At 40.3% G+C, this 19302-nt stretch overlaps 1 pseudogene, besides 3 other annotated features; it reads right to left on the bottom strand.

Annotated features, from left to right (window-relative positions):
* Positions 3224 to 3353: an enhancer, noted in NCBI's record as "active region_4513". NCBI's record gives its function as "activates an Ori minimal core promoter by ATAC-STARR-seq in GM12878 lymphoblastoid cells {active_cell/tissue: GM12878}" and the evidence as "EXISTENCE:reporter gene assay evidence [ECO:0000049][PMID:35858748]".
* Positions 3574 to 3623: an enhancer, noted in NCBI's record as "active region_4514". NCBI's record gives its function as "activates an Ori minimal core promoter by ATAC-STARR-seq in GM12878 lymphoblastoid cells {active_cell/tissue: GM12878}" and the evidence as "EXISTENCE:reporter gene assay evidence [ECO:0000049][PMID:35858748]".
* On the bottom strand, positions 13537 to 14715 carry MRGPRX7P (MAS related GPR family member X7, pseudogene; annotated as a pseudogene).
* Positions 15837 to 16387: an enhancer, noted in NCBI's record as "OCT4-NANOG hESC enhancer chr11:18887393-18887943 (GRCh37/hg19 assembly coordinates)". NCBI's record gives its function as "activates a minimal SCP1, AML or CMV promoter by ChIP-STARR-seq in primed H9 embryonic stem cells {active_cell/tissue: H9 hESC(primed)}" and the evidence as "EXISTENCE:reporter gene assay evidence [ECO:0000049][PMID:30033119]".

A 19302-nucleotide genomic window follows, 5' to 3' on the forward strand; every position in this document is an offset into this window, starting at 1 on the left:
TTTCCTGGTGCTGTTAAGTGTAAAATATATACTAGATTATAAAGACTTAATACAAAAAATAGAATATAAAATATCTCATTAATTTTTTATATTGGTCACATAACAAAATGATAATATTCTGGATATAGCCTATAAAATATAAAATTACAAGGTGGCTCACATTTTATTTCTGTTAGTGCTATTTTAGAGTAACTACAAAAATTTAAAAAATGTATCATTAAAAAGCTAATACAAGAGAAAAGATTAAACAAACAATTCATAAAAATAAAATGGATTAAAGATAATATAATAGATAGGACATATAGAAAACAAATAGCAAGATGGTAGACTTAAAACTAACTGTAATTAAATTGCAGACAAATGGACCAAACGATTCAGTTAAAAGTACAAGATTGCCAGACTAAATCTTGAAGAAGACCCAATTGTGTTATATTTACAAGATACACACTTCAAATATAAGGACCCACATAGTTTGGATAAAAAAAGGATAGAAAGAGATAAACTAGGCCGGGCGCGGTGGCTCATGCCTATAATCCCAGCACCTTGGGAGGCTGAGGCAGGCAGATCACCTGAGGTCAGGAGTTCTAGACCAGCCTGGCCAACATGGCAAAACCCTGTCTCTACTAAATAATACCAAAATTAGCCAGGCGTGGTGGTGGTTGCCTGTAATCCAAGCTACTCAGGAGGCTGAGGCAGGGAGAATTGCTTAAACCTGGGAGGTGGAAGTTGCAGTGAGCCAAGATAGCGCCACTGCACTCCAGCCTGGGTGACAGAGTGAGACTCCATCTCAAAAAAAACAAAAAACAAAAACAAAAGAGATAAACTATGAAAATCTTAAATAAAATAAAGCTGGCATGGTTAAGATGATATAATATAAATTATAATTTAAGGTAACGAGTATTACTAGTGAAAAGAAGAAATATTTCATAATAGCAAAAATGTCAATTCATCAAGAATACATTACAAACTTAAACATGTATTCACCAGCAGAGTTAAAACATGCAAAGTAAGAGTTGACACAACTAAAAATAACATACAAACCCAGAATCATAGTTGGTGATTTGAACTCAACACTTCTAATAAAAGAGAAAAAGAAGACAAAAAAATTCTGTAAAGATATAGGAGACTTGAACAACATAATTAGCTATATGACTTAATGATATATATGGAACAATATATTCAAAATATACATTATTTTCAAGTGAATGTGGATTATTTCTCTTGTAGACCATATTATGGCCACAAAGCAATTCTCAAAACATTTTAAAGGATTGAAATCATTATAAGTAGCTTCCCTGACCACAATAGATGCAAACTTCATTCTATTCAATAATAGAAAGGTAAATAGAAGCCTTTGAGATGTTTGAAAAATGATTCAGCACACTCTATTCATTATAGAATAAATTAAATATTTATAAGAAATAATACTACTAAACATCAAAATTGTAGCAGGCAGCTAACACATTACTTATGGTGAAATTTATAGCCTTTAATGCTTATATTAAAAAAGAGAAAGGTTGAAAATCAGTAACTGGGGAGGTAGAGCAAGATGGTGGACTAGAAGCCTCCACCGATCATCTCCCCATGAAGGACACCATTTTAACAACTATCTACACAAAAAAGCACCTTCATAAGAACCAAAAATCAGGTGAGCACAGCACCTGGTTTTAACTTTGTATCACTGAAGAGGTAGAAAAATCTGTCTTGAATTGCTGAGGTCACCCCTCCCCTCCCACTGTGGGGTGTGTGCTAGCAGAGGGAGAGTACAGCAATTATGAGGCATCAAAGTCATTGCTGTCTTGTTAGAGCAGAAAAGAAAACCGGACCAAACTCAGCTGACACTTGCCCATGGAGGGAGCATTTAAACCAGCCCTAGCCAGAGGGGAATCACTGATCCCAGCTGTTGGAATTTGAGTTTCTGCAAACCTTACTACCATGGCCTAAAGTGCTCTGGGGCTGTAAATAAACTTGAAAGGCAGTCTAGGCCATAAGGACTGCAACTTCTAGGCAAGTACTAGTGCTGAACTGGGCCCAGAACAAGTAGACTAGGGGAGCATGCGACCTACTGAGACACCAGCAAGGGCAGCAAAGGGAGTGCTAGTATCACTCCTCCCCTAACTCCAGGCTGTACGGTCCATAGCTCCAAAAGAGAACTCCTCCTTCCACTTGAAGAGAGGAGAGGGAAGACTGGGGAGGACTTTGTCTTGCATCTTGAAAACCAGCTCAGCCAACAGCAGGATAGGGTACTGGTCAGAGTCATCAGGCCCTCTTACCAGGCCCTGGCTACTGGGTGATTTTTCTAGATATGCCCTGGGGCCAGGAGGAAACCCATTGCCTTGAAGGGAAAAACCTAGTCCTGGCACCATTCATCACCTGCTAACTGAAGAGCCCTTGGGCCCTGAATAACCATCAACAATACCCAGGTACTATGTTGAAGGCCATTCTTCAGCGATCTGGCAGTGGGGCCACACAGGCATTTTAGTCTCAGGCCAGAGATTGGAGTCCTTACTCTGGAGCAGGTTAGGAGCCTCTATGGCCAGAACTGTGGAAAATGCCTCAGCAGTAGGTGCTAGAATTGTGCTTTCCCCCATCACAAGCCTGGGGTGGCAAGAGAGCTGATACAGCTGCAGTTTCTCCTAGGTGGTGAGACTAGGGCCAGCGCCAGCTTGGTGATCTGGAACCAGTCTGCATGTGTCATTTCTGGGTACTCCAGCCTGCTCCCCTGAGACTGTGGTGTAGCAGGGCCCACTCTGCCCAATATCCAGGCAGAAATCCAGGTATTTAGAATACCCATTTTCCTGGACCAGCAGCCTGAGCTACCCTACCCTTCATGGGCATAGATCAAGGTACAGCAAGGCCCTCTTTGCTCCATGCCCAGGTAGATCTCCAGGGATTCAGAGCACCCGCTCATCTGGATTAGCAACCTGAGCAGCCCCACCCTTCCTGTGCAGAGATCCTGGTTCGTGGAGGCCCTCACTGCATCACATCCAGGTATACCTCCAGGCATCTGGAGCACTTGCTCTTCTGTTTCAGCAGGCTGAGCTATCCCACCCTTCCTGGACATAGATTATGATACAGTGAGGCCCTCTCTACTTTATGCCCAGGTAGACCTCCAGGCATCTGGGACACCTACTCTTCTGGATTAGCAGTTTAGGCCACCCCCATCCCTATGCAGAGAACTTGGGGCCAAGGAGGTTTCCCAGCTCCACACCTAGGCACACCTCAGGGCACTTGGTGGCTGCCCACTGGATGCTGGTGTGTGTGTCTCCTACTGGGTGACCCGTAGGTGGAACTGCATGATTGGGCTCTGCCCATCTTGGTCTCCATCCATCTCGGCTCCCACCCATCTTAGTCTCTGCCTTCCTGGGGCTGAACAGGGAGCTCAAACCACTGTGCACTTTAGGAAGCAGCCCACAGCGTGAGGCGATAGGGAATTTCTCTCAGTAAGAAAGAATCAAGTACATACCTAGCATTGTTGGCCACAGCCATCTCTTACCTGTAAGTGCCATCTACTGGCTTGTAGGTTGAACTGCACAACCTAATATAAAACCTGCCAACAGATGTGCATAGTGCTATAGAAGCAAAGCCAAAAATCCTACTCAGCATTCTCTGCAGTCCCATCCCCTAGTGAGAGAGGAAAGGGAAAGGGAAAGGGAAAGAAAAAAAAAAACCCCAATAATATTACATATGAAGACGGAAAAAAATCAAAATAATTACCAAAATTAGAAATGCCAGCAACCCCAGATAAGAAGGAGGCTGCATAAGAATTCTGGCACCATGAAAAATCTGAATGCTGTGACACTACCAAAGGATCACACTAGATCTCTAGCAATGGTCTCTAACCAAAATGGAAACTCAGAAATGACAGATAAAGAATTCAAAGCATTGATCACAGGGAAGCTCAGTGAGATCCAAGACAAGGTTGAAAATCAACACAAAGATACTTCTAAAGCAATCCAGAAAATGAAGGAAGAGATAAACATCCTAAGAATAAATCAATCAGAACTTCTGGAATTGAAAATCTCACTTAAGGATTTTCAAAATATAATTGAAAGCTTTATCTATAGACTAGACTAAGCAGATAAAAGGATTTCAGAGCTTGAAGACTGCTCTTTTCAACTAACCTGTTAGACAAAAATAAAGAAAAAAGAATTTTATAAAGTGAACAAAGTCTTCAAGAAATGTGAGATTATGGAAAGTGACCAAACCTATAAATTATAGGCCTTCCTGACAGAGAAGGAGAAAAAGTAAAGAACCTGGAAAAATATTTGAGAAAATAATTTAAGAAAATTTCCCTAATCTGGCTAGAGAGGTAGACAGCCAGATATAAGAAATCCAGAGAACACTTGCAAGATACTATATAAAACAAACATCATCAAGGCATATAGTCACCAGATTGTCCAAATATCAATGCCAAAGAAAAAAATCTTAAAGGCAGCAAAAAGAAAAGGTCAGGTCACATGCAAAGGGAACCCAATCAGGATAACTGTGGCCTTCTCAGCAGAAATATTATAAGCTAGGAGAGATTGGGGGTCTTTTTTCAACATTCTTAAAGAAAAGAAATTTCAACCAAGAATTTCATATCCCACCAAGCTAAGCTTCATAAGCAAGGGAGAAAGAAAATAATTTCCATATAGGCAAGTGCTAGGGGAATTTTTTTGCCATTAGACTAGCCTTACAAGAGATCCTTAAGGGAGTTCTAAATATGGAAACAAAAAAATGATACATGTTACCACCAAAAACGCGCTTAAGCACATAGCCCACAGACTGTGTAAAGCAACCACGCAATAGAAACTACAAAGCAACCAGCTAACAACTTAATGACAAGATCAAAATATCACACATCAATACTAACCTTATATGTAAATGGTCTAAATGCCCCCAGTACACTTGTATGCAAATGATCGAAATGCCCACAACTTGCTCCTGAATGACCTTTGGGTAAACAATGAAATTAAGGCAGATATCAAAAAATTATTTGAAATAAATGAACACAAAGACACAACATACCAAAATCTCTGGGATGCAGCAAAAGCAGCATTAAGAGGAAAATTTATAGTGCTGAACAACTACCTCAAAAGTTAGAAAGGTCTTAAATTAACAATGGTCTAAGTGTCCCACTTTAAAGAAACAGAGTGGCAAGTTAGATTAAAAAAGACCCATTCATTTGCTGTCTTCAAGTGAGCCATCTCACACATAATGACACCCATATCCTCAAAGTAAAGGGTTTGAGAAAGGTCTACCATGTAGATGAAAAACAAAAAACAACAGTGGTAACTACTCTAGTATCAGATAAAACAGACTTTAAATCACCAACAGTAAGAAAGGACAAAGAAGGGCATTACAAAATAACGAAGGGTTCAATTCAATAAGAGGACTTAACTATCCTAAATATGTGTGTACCCAACATTGGAATATCCAGATTCATAAAACAAGTACTTCTGGATCTACAAAAAGATTTAGACAGCCACACAATAACAGTGGGGAACTTCAACACTCCACTGTCATCATTAGACAGATCACTGAGTCAGAAAACTAACAAAGAAATTACGGATTTAAACTGGACATTTGACCAATTGAACCTAATCGAGATCTACAGAACACTCCACCTATCAACCATGGAATATACATTCTTCTAATCTACACATAGAACATACTTTAGGATTAACCACATGCTTGGCCATAAAGAAAGTTTCCATAAATTCAAACAAATTGAAATACCAGCGATACTCTCAGACCACAGTGGAATAAAAATAGAAATTAATACCTAGAAGATCTCTCAAAACTACATGATTACATGGAAATTAAACAACTTGCTCTCGAATGACCTTTGGGTAAACAATGAAATTAAGGCAGATATCAAAAATTTCTTTGAAATAAATGAAAACAGAGACACAACATACCAAAATCTTTGGGATGGAAAAAAAGCAGCATTAAGAGGAAAGTGTAGTGCTAAACCCCTACCTTGAAAGTTAGAAAGATCTAAAATTAACAATCCAATATCACACCTAAAAGACCTAGGAAAACCAGAACAAACTAATCCTAAAGCCAGTAGAAGAAAAGAAATATCTAAAATAAAAGCAGAACTGAACAAAATTGAGACCCAAAAATCCATACAAAGCATCAACAACAAAAAGAAAGTTCGTTGTTTGACAAATTTACAAGAAAAAACAAACAACCCCATCAAAACACGAGCGAAGGATATGAACAGACGCTTCTCAAAAGAAGACATTTATGCAGCCAAAAGACACATGAAAAAATGCTCATCATCACTGGCCATCAGAGAAATGCAAATCAAAACCGCAATGAGATACCATCTCACACCAGTTAGAATGGTGATCATTAAAAAGTCAGGAAACAACAGGTGCTGGAGAGGATGTGGAGAAATAGGAACACTTTTACACTGTTGGTGGGACTGTAAACTAGTTCAACCATTGTGGAAGTCAGTGTGGCGATTCCTCAGGGATCTAGAACTAGAAATACCATTTGACCCAGCCATCCCATTACTGGGTATATACCCAAAGGATTATAAATCATGCTGCTATAAAGACACATGCACATGTATGTTTATTGCGGCACTATTCACAATAGCAAAGACTTGGAACCAACCCAAATGTCCAACAACGATAGACTGGATTAAGAAAATGTGGCACATATACACCATGGCATATACACTATGCAGCCATAAAAAACGATGAGTTCATGTCCTTTGCAGGGACATGGATGAAGCTGGAAACCATCATTCTCAGCAAACTATTGCAAGGACAGAAAACCAAACACCGCATGTTCTCACTCATAGGTGGGAATTGAACAATGAGAACACATGGACACAGGAAGGGGAACGTCACACACTGGGGCCTGTTGTGGGGTGGGGGGAGGGGGGAGGGATAGCATTAGGAGATATACCTAATGTTAAATGATGAGTTAATGGGTGCAGCACACCAACATGGCACGTGTATACATATGTAACAAACCTGCACGTTGTGCACATGTACCCTAAAACTTAAAGTGTAATAAAAAAAGTTTGTTGTTTGAAAGGACTAACAAGATCAATAGACCACAAGCTTGATTAACAAAGAAAAGAGAGAAGATCCAAATGTTCATAATTGGAAACTACAACAGTGACAGTACAACTGATCCCACAGAAAAACAAAATATCCACAGAGATTATTATGAATACCTCTATGCACAACAACTAGAAAATCTAGAGGAAATGAGTAAATTCCTGGAAACACACTCTTTCCAAAGATTGAATCGTGAAGAAATTGAAATCCTGAACAGACCAATTTGAGTTCCACAACTGAAGTGGTAATAAAAAAGCCTACCAACCAAAAAAGCCCTGGAGACTTTCTTTATGGCCAAGCATGTGGTTAATCCTAAAGTATGTTCTATGTGTGGACAAGAAGAATGTATATGCCATGGTTGATGGGGGGGTATTCTGTAGATCTCTATTAGGTCCACTTGGTCAAGTGTCCAGTTTAAGTCCAGAATTTCTTTGTTAGTTTTCTGCCTTGATCATCTGTCTAATGATTTACAGCTGAATTATACTAGATGTACAAAAAGAGTGGGTACGAATAGTACTGAAACTATTCCAAAAACATTGAGGAGACTCCTCCTCAACTTATTCTATGAGGTCAGTATCAAACCAATACTCAAACCTGGCAGAGACAAAATGAAAAAGGAAAACTACATGCCAACATCCTGAAGAACATAGACACAAAAATCCTCAACGAAATACTAGCAAACAAAAATCCTCAACAAAATACTAGCAAACTAAATCCAGCAGCACATCAAAAGTTAATTTACCATGATCAAGTAGGCTTCATTCCTGGGATGCAGGGTTGTTTCAATATACAGAAATCAACACATGTGATTCACCACATAAGCATAATTCAAAACAAAAACTATATGATCATTTCAATAGATGTGGGTAAGGTTTTGATAAAATTCAACATCCCTTCATGATAAAAACCCTCAAGAAACTAGGCATTGAGGGAATATACCTCAAAATAATAAGAACCATGTATTACAAACCCACAGCCAACATCATACTGAATGGGCAAAAACTGGTTGCATTCCCCTTGAGAACCAGAACAAGACAAGAACAAGACAACATAGTAATGGAAGTGCTAGCCAGAGCAATTAGGCAGAAGAAAGAAATAAAGAGCATCCAAATAGGAAAAGAAGAAGTCAAACGATCTCTCTTTGAAGATGATATAATTCTATATCTAGATGACCCTAAAAACTCTGCCAAAAGGCTCCTAGAACTGATAAATGACTTCAGTAAAGTTTCAAGACACATAATCAATTTACAAAAATTAGTAGCATTTCTATACATCAACAATGTTCAAGCTGAGAGCTAAATCAAGAATGCAGTCCCCTTTACAATAGCCATGAAAAATTAAATTAAACCTAGGAATACATCTAATCAAAGATATGAGAGCTATCTATGAGGAGATCTACAAAACACTGCTAAAAGAAATCATAGGTGACACAAACAAGTGGAAAGTACTTTCATTCTCACGGATTGGAAGAATCAATAGTGTTAAAATGACAATACTGCCAAAATAATCTACAAGTTTAACACTATTCTTATCAAACTACCAACATTATTTTTCACAGAAAATAAAAAGAATTTATAAAAAGCTATTCTAAAATTCATAAAGAATCAAAAAAGAGTCCAAATGGCCAAAGAAATCCTAAGCAAAAAGAACAAAGCTGCATGCATTACATTACCTGACTAAAAACTATACTATAAGCCTAGAGTAACCAAAACAGCATGGAACTGGTATAAAAACAGACACACAGACCAATGGAACAGAATATAGAATGCAGAAACAAAGCTGCACACCTATCACCCTCAGATCTTCCACAGTATTGTCAGAAATAAGCAATGGAAAAAGGACTCCTTATTCAATAAATGGTGCTGAGATAGCTGGCTAGCCATACGCAGAGGAATGAAACTGGATCCTTACCTGTTACCACATACAGAAATTAACTCAAGATGGATTAAATATTTAAATGTAAAACCTCAGACTGTAATAATCATAGAAGAAAACCTAAGAAACACATAATTCTGGACATCAGCCTTGGGAAATAATTGATTAGTAAGTTGTCAAAAGCAATTGCAACAAAAACAAAAATGGACAAGTGGAACCTAATTAAACTAAAGAGCTTCTGCACAGCAAAAGAAACTAGCAACAGATTAAACAGCCAACCTACAGAATGGGAGAAAATATTCACAAACTGCACATCTGACAAAGGTTTAATATCCAGAATCTATAAGGAACTTAAGCAATTCAACAAGCAAAAACCAAATAGCTGTGTGAAAAAATGGGCAAAAGACATGAACAGACACTTCTCATAAGAAGACGTACAAGCAGCCAACAAAAGTATAAAACAATGCTCCACATCACTAATCATCGGAATTATAAATCAAACCCACAATGAGATACCATCTCACACCAGTCAGAATGGCTGTTATTAAAAAGTCAAAAAACTGGCAGGGTGCGGTAGCTCACGCCTGTAATCCCAACACTTTGGGAGGTCGAGGTGGGTGGATTATGAGATCAGGAGTTCAAGACCAGCCTGGCCAAGATGATGAAACCCCGTCTCTACTAAAAATACAAAAATTAGCCGGGCATGGTGGCGGGTGCCTGTAATCCTAGCTACTCAGGAAGCTGAGGTAGAGAATCGCTTGAACTTGGGAGGCGGAGATTGCAGTGAGCCGAGATCATGCTGCTGCCCTCCAGCAAAAAACAACAGATGCTGGTGAGGCTGCAGAGAAAAGAGAATGCTTATAAGTCGTTGGAGGATATGTAAATTAGTTCAACCACTGTGGAAAGCAGTTCGGAGATTTCCCAAATAACTTAGAACTACTATTTGATTCAGTAATCTCACTACTGGGTATATATCCAAAAGAAAATAAATCGTTCTACTAAAAGGACACCTGCACTTGTATGTTCATTGCAATTCTATTCACAATAGCAAAGACATGAAATCAATGTGCCTATCCATAGTTAATTGGATAAAGAAAATGTGGCACACATACAGCACAGTAGTAACCCTCCAGGAATTTCAGCAGCAGGGATAGGGCCCAGAGAAGAGCACACATGATCATTGACAGGGATCCTGCATGGCTGCAGTAATACCAGATGGTAGGCCACAGGATGGACAGGCAACACTTGGTGCTAATGGCACTGGGCATATTGGCCTGTGATGCAGGAAAAGATCCTTACAGTGGAAATGAAAATGGAATTGGAATGGAAGGAGATGAAGAATTTTACCAGGGAACCTTTAATATGGCAGCACAGCAAAATAGAGGAGGAAGAGGATGAGGGTGAGATCTGAGTGCCACTGAAAAGAGGTATTTGAGTTATGGGAGAATCTATGAAGGACTACTAAGTGATGTGCTGTGGTGTGTATAATATAAACCTACTCCATTCCTTCTCCCAGGAGATCTTGAGCAGAGTTTTCTTTGCTGATGAAAGCTTTTCTGTGAGAGGAGTCTATAAGGGGAAGTTGAAAAAGTGCAGGGCTTGGAATGCAGAGAGAGGTACTCCTACAGCTTTCCACTAGAGAGAGGATATAACTCCCATCCGGGTGAATAACAGCAGCAGATTGAGATTTTACTGGGTACTGTTTTTTAATCCTTTCAGAGGCCTGTGAGGTAAGAATCAGTGTTGTTCTCATTTTGGAGAGAATGGAATTGGAGTACAAAACAGATGAGTTATTTGTTCCTAGTCTTACATAGTATGGATTTGAACCCAGCAAGACTGCCTCAGGGTCCATGTTTTTGACGAGTGCTTTGGACCCAGCACCACTGTGTATCACTTACACATGAATTGGAGTGGGTAGCAAAGTAATTCCCAGTTAAATCCGAGACGACAGTCAAAATTGTGCATGAAAAAAAAGCATGAGCAAATTCCAGGAACAGAGAAAAGAAGCCAATTAAATAAGGAACAAGAGAGAACTGGGTCGAAGCCAATTAGGAATAGATAGCAGAATCTAAGGGCCCTCTTCTGCCTGAAAGGCAGCCATTGCTCTGGAATCCAGAGAACTCACAGGTGCAGGAGGCCTCCAAGTGTACAGAGGACCCTTCCTCCTGTGGAGGTGGAGAGAGGGATCAAAATGTTATAGAATTATACGCAAAGGTGTATCTCACTCCTAAAAAAATGAGTGCATGTAAATACTGGTGAAATCTGATAAGATTTGTATTGTAGATAACTGTATTGTACCAATATTAATTTCATTGTTTTGATAATACATTTATGTAACATGTCATTACTGCTGTAGGTTGGTTGATGGGTATACAGGAACTCTCCATTTTTTTGTAACTTCTTGTTAGTCTACAATTCATTGAGAATGAAAAGTTAAAAAACAACCAAAAGGTCAGTTCATTGTATGAACTACCTCCATGGATACTGAAGTCACCAAGAATGAGAACATGGGGTATGCCTGAAAGAAGTTTGTAAATTTGGCATATAGGTTAGAAGATAATATGATATCTTATATGAACTTAAAGTATTCTTACAGTGAATAGGAAAAGGAATATTACTGAAATCAAAATAACCAGTTGCCCAGAGAGAGCCAACAGTCTTTGGTTCAATTTTCAGGTGAAATTTCGCTCCAGGGCTCCTCATTATGGACAAAATTGTTAGCTGAAGCTGTGCAATTGATGATACCACAAACTCTCAGGGTGGACTCTCCTAGTAACCCCCATTCTGAACTGATGACATCACATCTAAACCCCATGCCTGGAGCATTGGCTGCAAGCACTGTCTTCCTGCTTCCTCTGACCTGCAAGAACCCTCACATACAGCCAAGTCCTACTATGGTGTTTATAAATCAAGCGTGCACATATAGGATACAGAATCAGCAAAGAGCTCGGCCTGGAAGAGCAATCAATCTGGATTCAGAAGGCCTGAGTTCTATATGCTGAACAGTGTTATAAGAGCCATTGATGCATTTTTTTTTTTGGAAAAATGGAAAACAATAGACTTCTTTACCACTTTCATAGCTACTTTATACTGTCTCCTGAGTACTCAAATTGCATTTGTCAGCTCCCTTCTGTGAGGGTCAATCTGAGGGGCATCCTCACTGCCTGTGAGCAGCACAGAGCCCACTGTGATGTCCCGTCTTCTCTTGGTGGTCTCTTCTGTCTGCTTGAGTTACCTGTGGAAAGAATAACCAATGGCAGAGAAGAGTCCTGAGTTTGTACTGATCCTAAGTTTTCATAATGAAATGGTTTTAATTGTGGTAAAATTTATGTAACATACATTTTACTACGTTAACGATTTTTTAGTGTATAACTCAGTAGCATTAAGTACATTGCCAATGAGATGTAACTGTTACCAAACAAAAATTTTTGTGCTCATTAAATAATGATTTCATATTCTCCCCATCCATCACCATCAGGTTCCTCCTAATCTATTTTTTGTGTTCATCAATTTTCCTAGATTAGATACTGGAAAAATTTGAACTTACAATATTGTTCTTTTGTGTCTGGCACAATGTTCTCAAGGTTCATCTGTATTGCAGCATGTATCAGAATTATGTTGCAATGCTAAGCTATTATCTAGATACTGTAATTGACATTATCATGGAAATGTCAAATACCTTCAATCTTGCTTCTGATAGTGACTGGCCATGAAACTAACTGAAAGTTACAGCCAGAACAACTTGTACAAAAATGGGAAGTATCCAGAATTCCTGTATAATTGAAGGAATCTGTCAGCAAATAATAAATGGTTTTAAGATAATTTCTACATTGAAACCAATACTGAGGTTGCAAATGGCCAAATTAGAACTCATGGGGCATATTTGTAGACTCTACACTCGTCCCTTTGTCCAGGAAAGCTAAATAAGCACTTACTAGTTCTGAAGGGGAAGGAGCTGTGGTTATCTTAACTTGAAACCAAGGCCAACATGTCACTGTGCCATGGACAAATGACAGCACAGGACTTTCCATAAAACCAATTTCCTAGACTGTTTTTATGAATACAGAGAATCTGTCTCTAAGGACATTATTTTCCCCTGTATCTGAGAATTCAATGAAATTCAGAGGCAGCAGAACTCACTTATCCAGAATGAGCTTCCTCCCTGCAGCAATACCCCTAATCATAGAAGGGAACATGGTTTTTAGGTGAACATAGTCCGAGAGAAAGATAAGGAATTTTCCCTTGGATACTGTCCGGTAGGAAATAGTTATAAAAAAAAGGTTTTCCAGTTTTAGACAGGAATTCTTTCCATTCCCATAAAAGTTGAACGTGAAAGTTTTCAGTAAGAAAAATTTAATGGAAGATAACAGGGGAAATTTGTTGGTAATAGGAAGAAGGATCTAAACAGTGTACTTTCAAATTAATGATTTCTCTGAGTAAAACTAGAAATGTGAGATTAAAAATAAAACTATTTGAAGATATTGAGGGAATCACAGGCATTTCTGAGGCAGAAAGATGAGAAAAACACATATAATTGTCAAGGTGGCAGGGCAGTGTTTCTCTCAAAGTGCCGTCTGACTGACAGGGCAGAGGCTCTTCCTCATGGCCCCAATCTGCTTCATGACAGCTCCAGGGTTTCCTCAGAAAGCCGCCATCTGCCTTCTTCCACCTCAGGCGTGTCCTGCAGAGCCCTCTGGAGAACCAGCTAGAGAGTCTTCCTGTTTTGAAGCTGCCTAAAGGAGCCCATGAAGAAGTAAATAATGGGGTTGGCACTGCTGTTAAGAGTGGACAGGAAAATGGAAACTAGACGAACGTGACAAATCCACGTGGATCCAGAAAAATAGGAATCACTGAATGCCAAAGGGCAGGTCACAGAGGAGGAAGACCAGCACTCTGAGCAGGATGGTCATGTACAGCCTGGTCAAGGGCATCTTCCGGGATCCACAAAGGATCCTGACCAGCAGGACCGGGCTGGACCCGCAGAGAACCACACATAAAAAAATCAGCCATGTGACTGTGATGAAATCTGATGTTTCACACCAAACAGAATCAGCACCACTAGACAGGAAGCCACAGAACATCCATTCCAGGATGCTCTGCAGCAGGGACAGGGCCCAGAGCAGGACACACGACTGCTGACAGGTGTGTGGGGTGGTGGCAGCGGTACTAGATGGGCCACAGGATGGACAGGCAGTGCTTGGTGCTGATGGAGCCCAGCATGCTCAGGCCTGTAAAGTAGAGAAAGGTCATCACAGTGGTGAAATAGGTGGAGATGGAAAGGAAGAAGTCATGGTAGAAATTCACAATTTCTAAAATCTGGGAGCAGAGGAAGAAGTCGGCCCCGGCCAGGTTGAGGGTGTAGAGGGAGAAGGTGTTCCTGTGCAGGCGGAATCCCAGGAGCCAGAGGAAATGACTGCATTTCCTGCCAGCTGGACCAGGTCAACGATGAGGAGCAGCAACATGAGGATCATGATCTCCATGCCACAATGTTGAAGATGGGTCTCCTCGGTCCTATTGATTGATGTCAGTTCTGTACCCAAGGCTGGGATGGTTGGATCCATGCACAGAAACCCTAGTCTGGTGCCCCTGGGAACACAAAAAAGATGTGATCAGCAGCTGTGTGATCTCTGATTTCACATACATTCTATTATATGAGAATTATTGTCCCCATTTTACAGAGGAGAGAAACAGGCTTGCAGAGAATAAGCCACCTGTCAAAAGGTGAGGAGTGCTGAACTCCAGTTTCAAATCCAGTTCTTGGTGACTCTAAAGCCTGGGCTCTCTCTATTGCAACACAATTTCTCTACTGACATGGGAATAACATTATGATGAAAACATCCCCACTCAACTGGCCAGGGCTGTGGATCCAAGCATTACTCGGTCCTGGTCAGAAATTTTCTCTCGAGTGTAGGAGTTTGGATAAAGAGGTGGACACCTTCATGATAAAAGTGGTCATCATGGATGAAAATGAAGGTTAGGCATTATTTACATGAGGAAAATGTGACGTCTTGCTAGGACAAGTGTGATGATGACTGGGCCTGGTGAGCTAGGAATGGCTCAGTGTGTGTCCGTCATTACAGAGAGGAGCACTTTTATATCCCCAGTGCCTAGCTCCATGTGGAACACACTGTGTTTTGTGTAAATATTCATTCAGTGAATAAATGCATGAATGAAGAGCCTAATGGTAGTGATAGCTTTGGATTAAAAGGAAAATAAAAATAAAAACACAATTAAAGGTGTTGGAACACCCACATATAATGAGATGTAAAAATTTCATTCATCAGAATTTTATTTGTTCCGTCTGTGTTAAAAGGCATTACTGATATGTGCCCAAATACCTGAAGTTGACTACTGATGTGCCTTTGAAATGAGGACTCAGTGTGGCTTTGCTGAGCCCCTAGAATCTCTTTTGTACACAGTGTTGGGGTAGGGTGTGGTCTGAGCTGAACTGCTCAGCAATATAGAAAAAGAAAGAGTAAGCGTGGGTGAGGTCTGAGTGCCGCTGAAAGAGGTAATTGAAATGTAGCAATATCTTTGGAGGACTCCTAAGTGTTCTGCTGGGTGTACACAGTGCAAAACAACTTGATTCTGTCTCACAGGAGATCTTTGGTAGACTTTCTCTGTTGATGCAAACATTTGTATGAGAGGAGTCCATGAGAGGAAATAGGAGTTCAGCGCTTGGAATGAAAAAAGAGATGTTCATGTAGATTTCAACTGGTGAAACAGGACTAGCTCATATCTGGCTGAAAAACAGCAGCTGATTGAGAGTTTATTAGGGATTGTCTTAATGCTCTCAAGAGCCTAGGAGGTAAGAGTTAGTATTATTCCTATATGGCAGAGAATGCAATTAGAGCACAAAAAGAGTGAGTTATTTGTCCCTGGTCTTACACAGTGCGGATTTGGACCCAGCAGAGCTGCCTCAAGGTCTACCCTTTTCACCAGCCCTTTGGACCCAGCACCACTCTATGTCTATTATACATGATAGAGGGGGAAGGCAGAGGAATGACTCTCAAATTTAACCCAAGTTGGCAGTCAAAAGTTTGGACTGAAAAAAAAAAAGCTAACCTAAACAAACTCCAGATAGAGAATGAGAAGCAAATCAAATAGGGAACCAAATAGAGTTGAGTGAAAACCAATTAGGAACAAATTGAGGAGCTCCTTTCTGCATCACAAAGGCTGCCTTTGTTCTGGAATGCCAAGGATGCACAGGGGCTGGAGGCCTCCAGGTGGAAAGAAGACACACCCTCCTCTGGGAGTACAAAGGAGCATCAGGAGTGGATGCATCCATCCTGAGCTCTCTTAGAGATACAAGCTGCCACAGCCTTCGTTGTCCTGAAAAGGAAATTAACGGAAAACCAGAACCTCTGTTAACCACATTGAGGACACTTAAGATTAAGAGTTTGTCCGCTTATTTTTAGGATATGATATATTTGTCTTCCTTACAAAACCTGAAGCTCCATAAAAACTAAGCTATGCCTGTTCTGGTTCACTGTAGTATTGCCAGCATTTAGCCTGTGTTCCTCAAAGACCATCTATTGTAATATCCTCCTATGACACAAGAAGCTGCTGAGGCTTAAAGAATCAAAGGATCTTCCTGAGATCACACTATGAAGAGCAGATCCAGTATAAGCTCCTGGTCCATGGAGCCCTGCATGAGACTTCTCTACTGTTTTCTGCTTCATCAATCATTATTTTTGAGGACCTCCTGAAAAATCTTGATGTGAGCATAGAATCTGAGATAATCAGGAGCTTTAGAGCCTACTCCATTGCCCCATATCCATTTTCCTTTTCAGTCAAACAACAATTCTGAGCATTTAAAAGCAGCACAAGGACACACATTCCAGTTTTCCTGGATGCTGGATGACATTGTATGACCAGGTTCTGGTCAATGGGAAGTAAGAAGATGTGATGTAAGCAAGTCCTGGCTCATGGGATCAATAGAAGGAGCACAGCCTTCCCTTCCCCTCTTCCTTCTCCATCAGGCTGGAATGCTGAGGTGGTTGGCAGGCAGTAGGACCACAAGAATGAGGGCAACTCTCTAGACATTAGGGAGCAGCAATTTTTGGAGTCCTAATGTCTGATGCCTTGGAGCCTCCAGCTCAGGTCTTAAATACAGTCACTCCTGAGTATCCACAGGGGATTGGTTCTAGAACCCCTGCACACACCAAAATCTGCCCATGCTCAATTTCCTTATAGAAAATGATGTAGTATTTGAATATAACTTATGAACTTTCTCCTTTATACTTTAAATTATTTCTAGATCACTTATAATACCTATTAAAATGTAAGTGCTATGTAAATAATTGTTATATGGTATTGTTTAGGAAATAATGACAAGAAAGAAAAGTCTGTACCTGTTCAGTACCTATAGAGCTACTCCTGTCCTCCTTTTTTTGGAATATATTCTACCTGTGGTTTGTTGAATCTAGGGATTCAGAACCAACTGACATGGAGGGACAACTGTACTTTCTTGTTTAAGATATTCCTACTTCGTGTTTCTTTTAGAGCAGCCAAACTTACATTCTAACAAAAAGGAATATGTTTTCTCTTTTTAAAATTACATTTCACTTCCTAGGCATTTTTGATAAATGCAGGTATTTCTCCATAAAATCGACAATAGAGAAAGAATTTCCAAACATAAAAAAAACTCTGATAGAGATTAAATGAGACATGATTCAATGAGATTTAGAGAGAGAAAACCCCAGGAGGTAGGAGGAAGATATAAAAAGGTGAGTGGGATAGTTTCATTTGCCTTGAGGATTTGCTTCCCAATCTTCTCTACCCTGTTTGACATCCCAAGAGGGTGGCTTCTCTGTACCTCATCAGTGATATTCTTTTCCTTTTGGTTTCTGGTTGAACTGAGACACTGAGAGACACTGGTAGGAGACTGGAAGGCAGGAGGGGAGTGATTTGGAATTTTCACCTCCTGGGCCTCTGCCTTTGTGACTGTGTGTTGGTGATGCAGGGCTTCTCCACCTGCCTGCTCATCCTCTCCCAACCCTACAGCTACAGCTATGGCTATGGCTGTGCTCTCAATGGTAACTGCTCCTTCCCTGTCCCTTTAAGCTTAGGGGAGGAAGTAGTGCTACACCATTGCCATTTAGGGTGCTTCCCTAGGCATTGTCTTTTCCCCTTAACCCTGTCCATCTTTGTACATAGTCCCCTCATGAAACACTCCTCATTTATTTCATTTTGGACCATCTGTTTCTTCCTTAGACCTTTCCAGATAGGCAAAGAAGAATAACTTTGAAAAGTAAGTAAAATAATAAGACCCCTTAACCACAGCTCAGCTGTAGGAAGGAATGCCTGCATATCCCCTTGCTCCTTAAATGAATTTAAAAAGCATCATTATCTCCATGAAAGCAGATTGAATAGTTGGAATAAAGGGGGTGATATGGAGAGATGGATCAGAGGGAGAAAGCTCTGCTGACCCCATTTGAAACTCCCGCAGTCTGGGCTGCCAGCACTCAGTTTCTAGAAGGAAGCTTCATGTCTCCTGCCTTTTCTTGAAGGAAACTTATGAACTTCTGTATGCAGAACCCCAAGGTGGAAACACAGGTTTGTGAACTTATAGCAGAAACAATAACTTGCTGTGGAAAGAAGAGAGTTCTTGGTACATACCCTTACCTTTCCTCCTTCTTCAAGTCCAAAGATAAAGAGCTGCCCCTTGCTAAAGGGGTAGAGCCTTTCTGGGATTCCGTGACTTCAGAGCACTATTCTGTGTTGTGTCATTTAGGAGATGCCTACAAGAGCTGGAATGAGAACTGGCAACCAACCCAGGTTTATGAAGATACAGACAGCATGTGATTTCCTGTATGAGGATTGCAGGCAAATCAGAAGCCAGAGCTGTTTGAGCCACGATCCCTAACTGAGATGTTTCTTGGCCTCTGTCCCATTATTAATACATATCTGCCTCTCTCATCATATCCCATCTCATTCAACTTCCTGTAAGTAATTGCTGTTTTGAACTTTTACAATTTATTATGGGCCTAGGTATCAATGTCAAGCAACGTGAGCTTGTTTTGTGAGGCTTTATAACTAAAAACTAAAGTAGATCATAGGGTCTTTCAGGGCTTGCAATGGCTTGATCCCACTCTGTGTGTGGGTTTGGTTTTCTAAGTCCATGATTATTTTCTGTTCAAAGACAAAGTAGAAAACTCAAGAGTTTAAAGTTCATGTGGAACCAAAAAAGAGCCTGCATTGCCAAGTCAATCCTAAGCCAAAAGAACAAAGCTGGAGGCATCACGCTACCTGACTTTAAAGTATACTACAAGGCTACAGTAACCAAAACAGCATGGTACTACTACCAAAACAGAGATATAGACCAATGGAACAGAGCAGAGCCCTCAGAAATAATGCCACA

The sequence above is a fragment of the Homo sapiens genome, chromosome 11 (genome assembly GCF_000001405.40).
Source record: "Homo sapiens chromosome 11, GRCh38.p14 Primary Assembly".
Classification (NCBI taxonomy): Eukaryota; Metazoa; Chordata; class Mammalia; order Primates; family Hominidae; genus Homo; species Homo sapiens.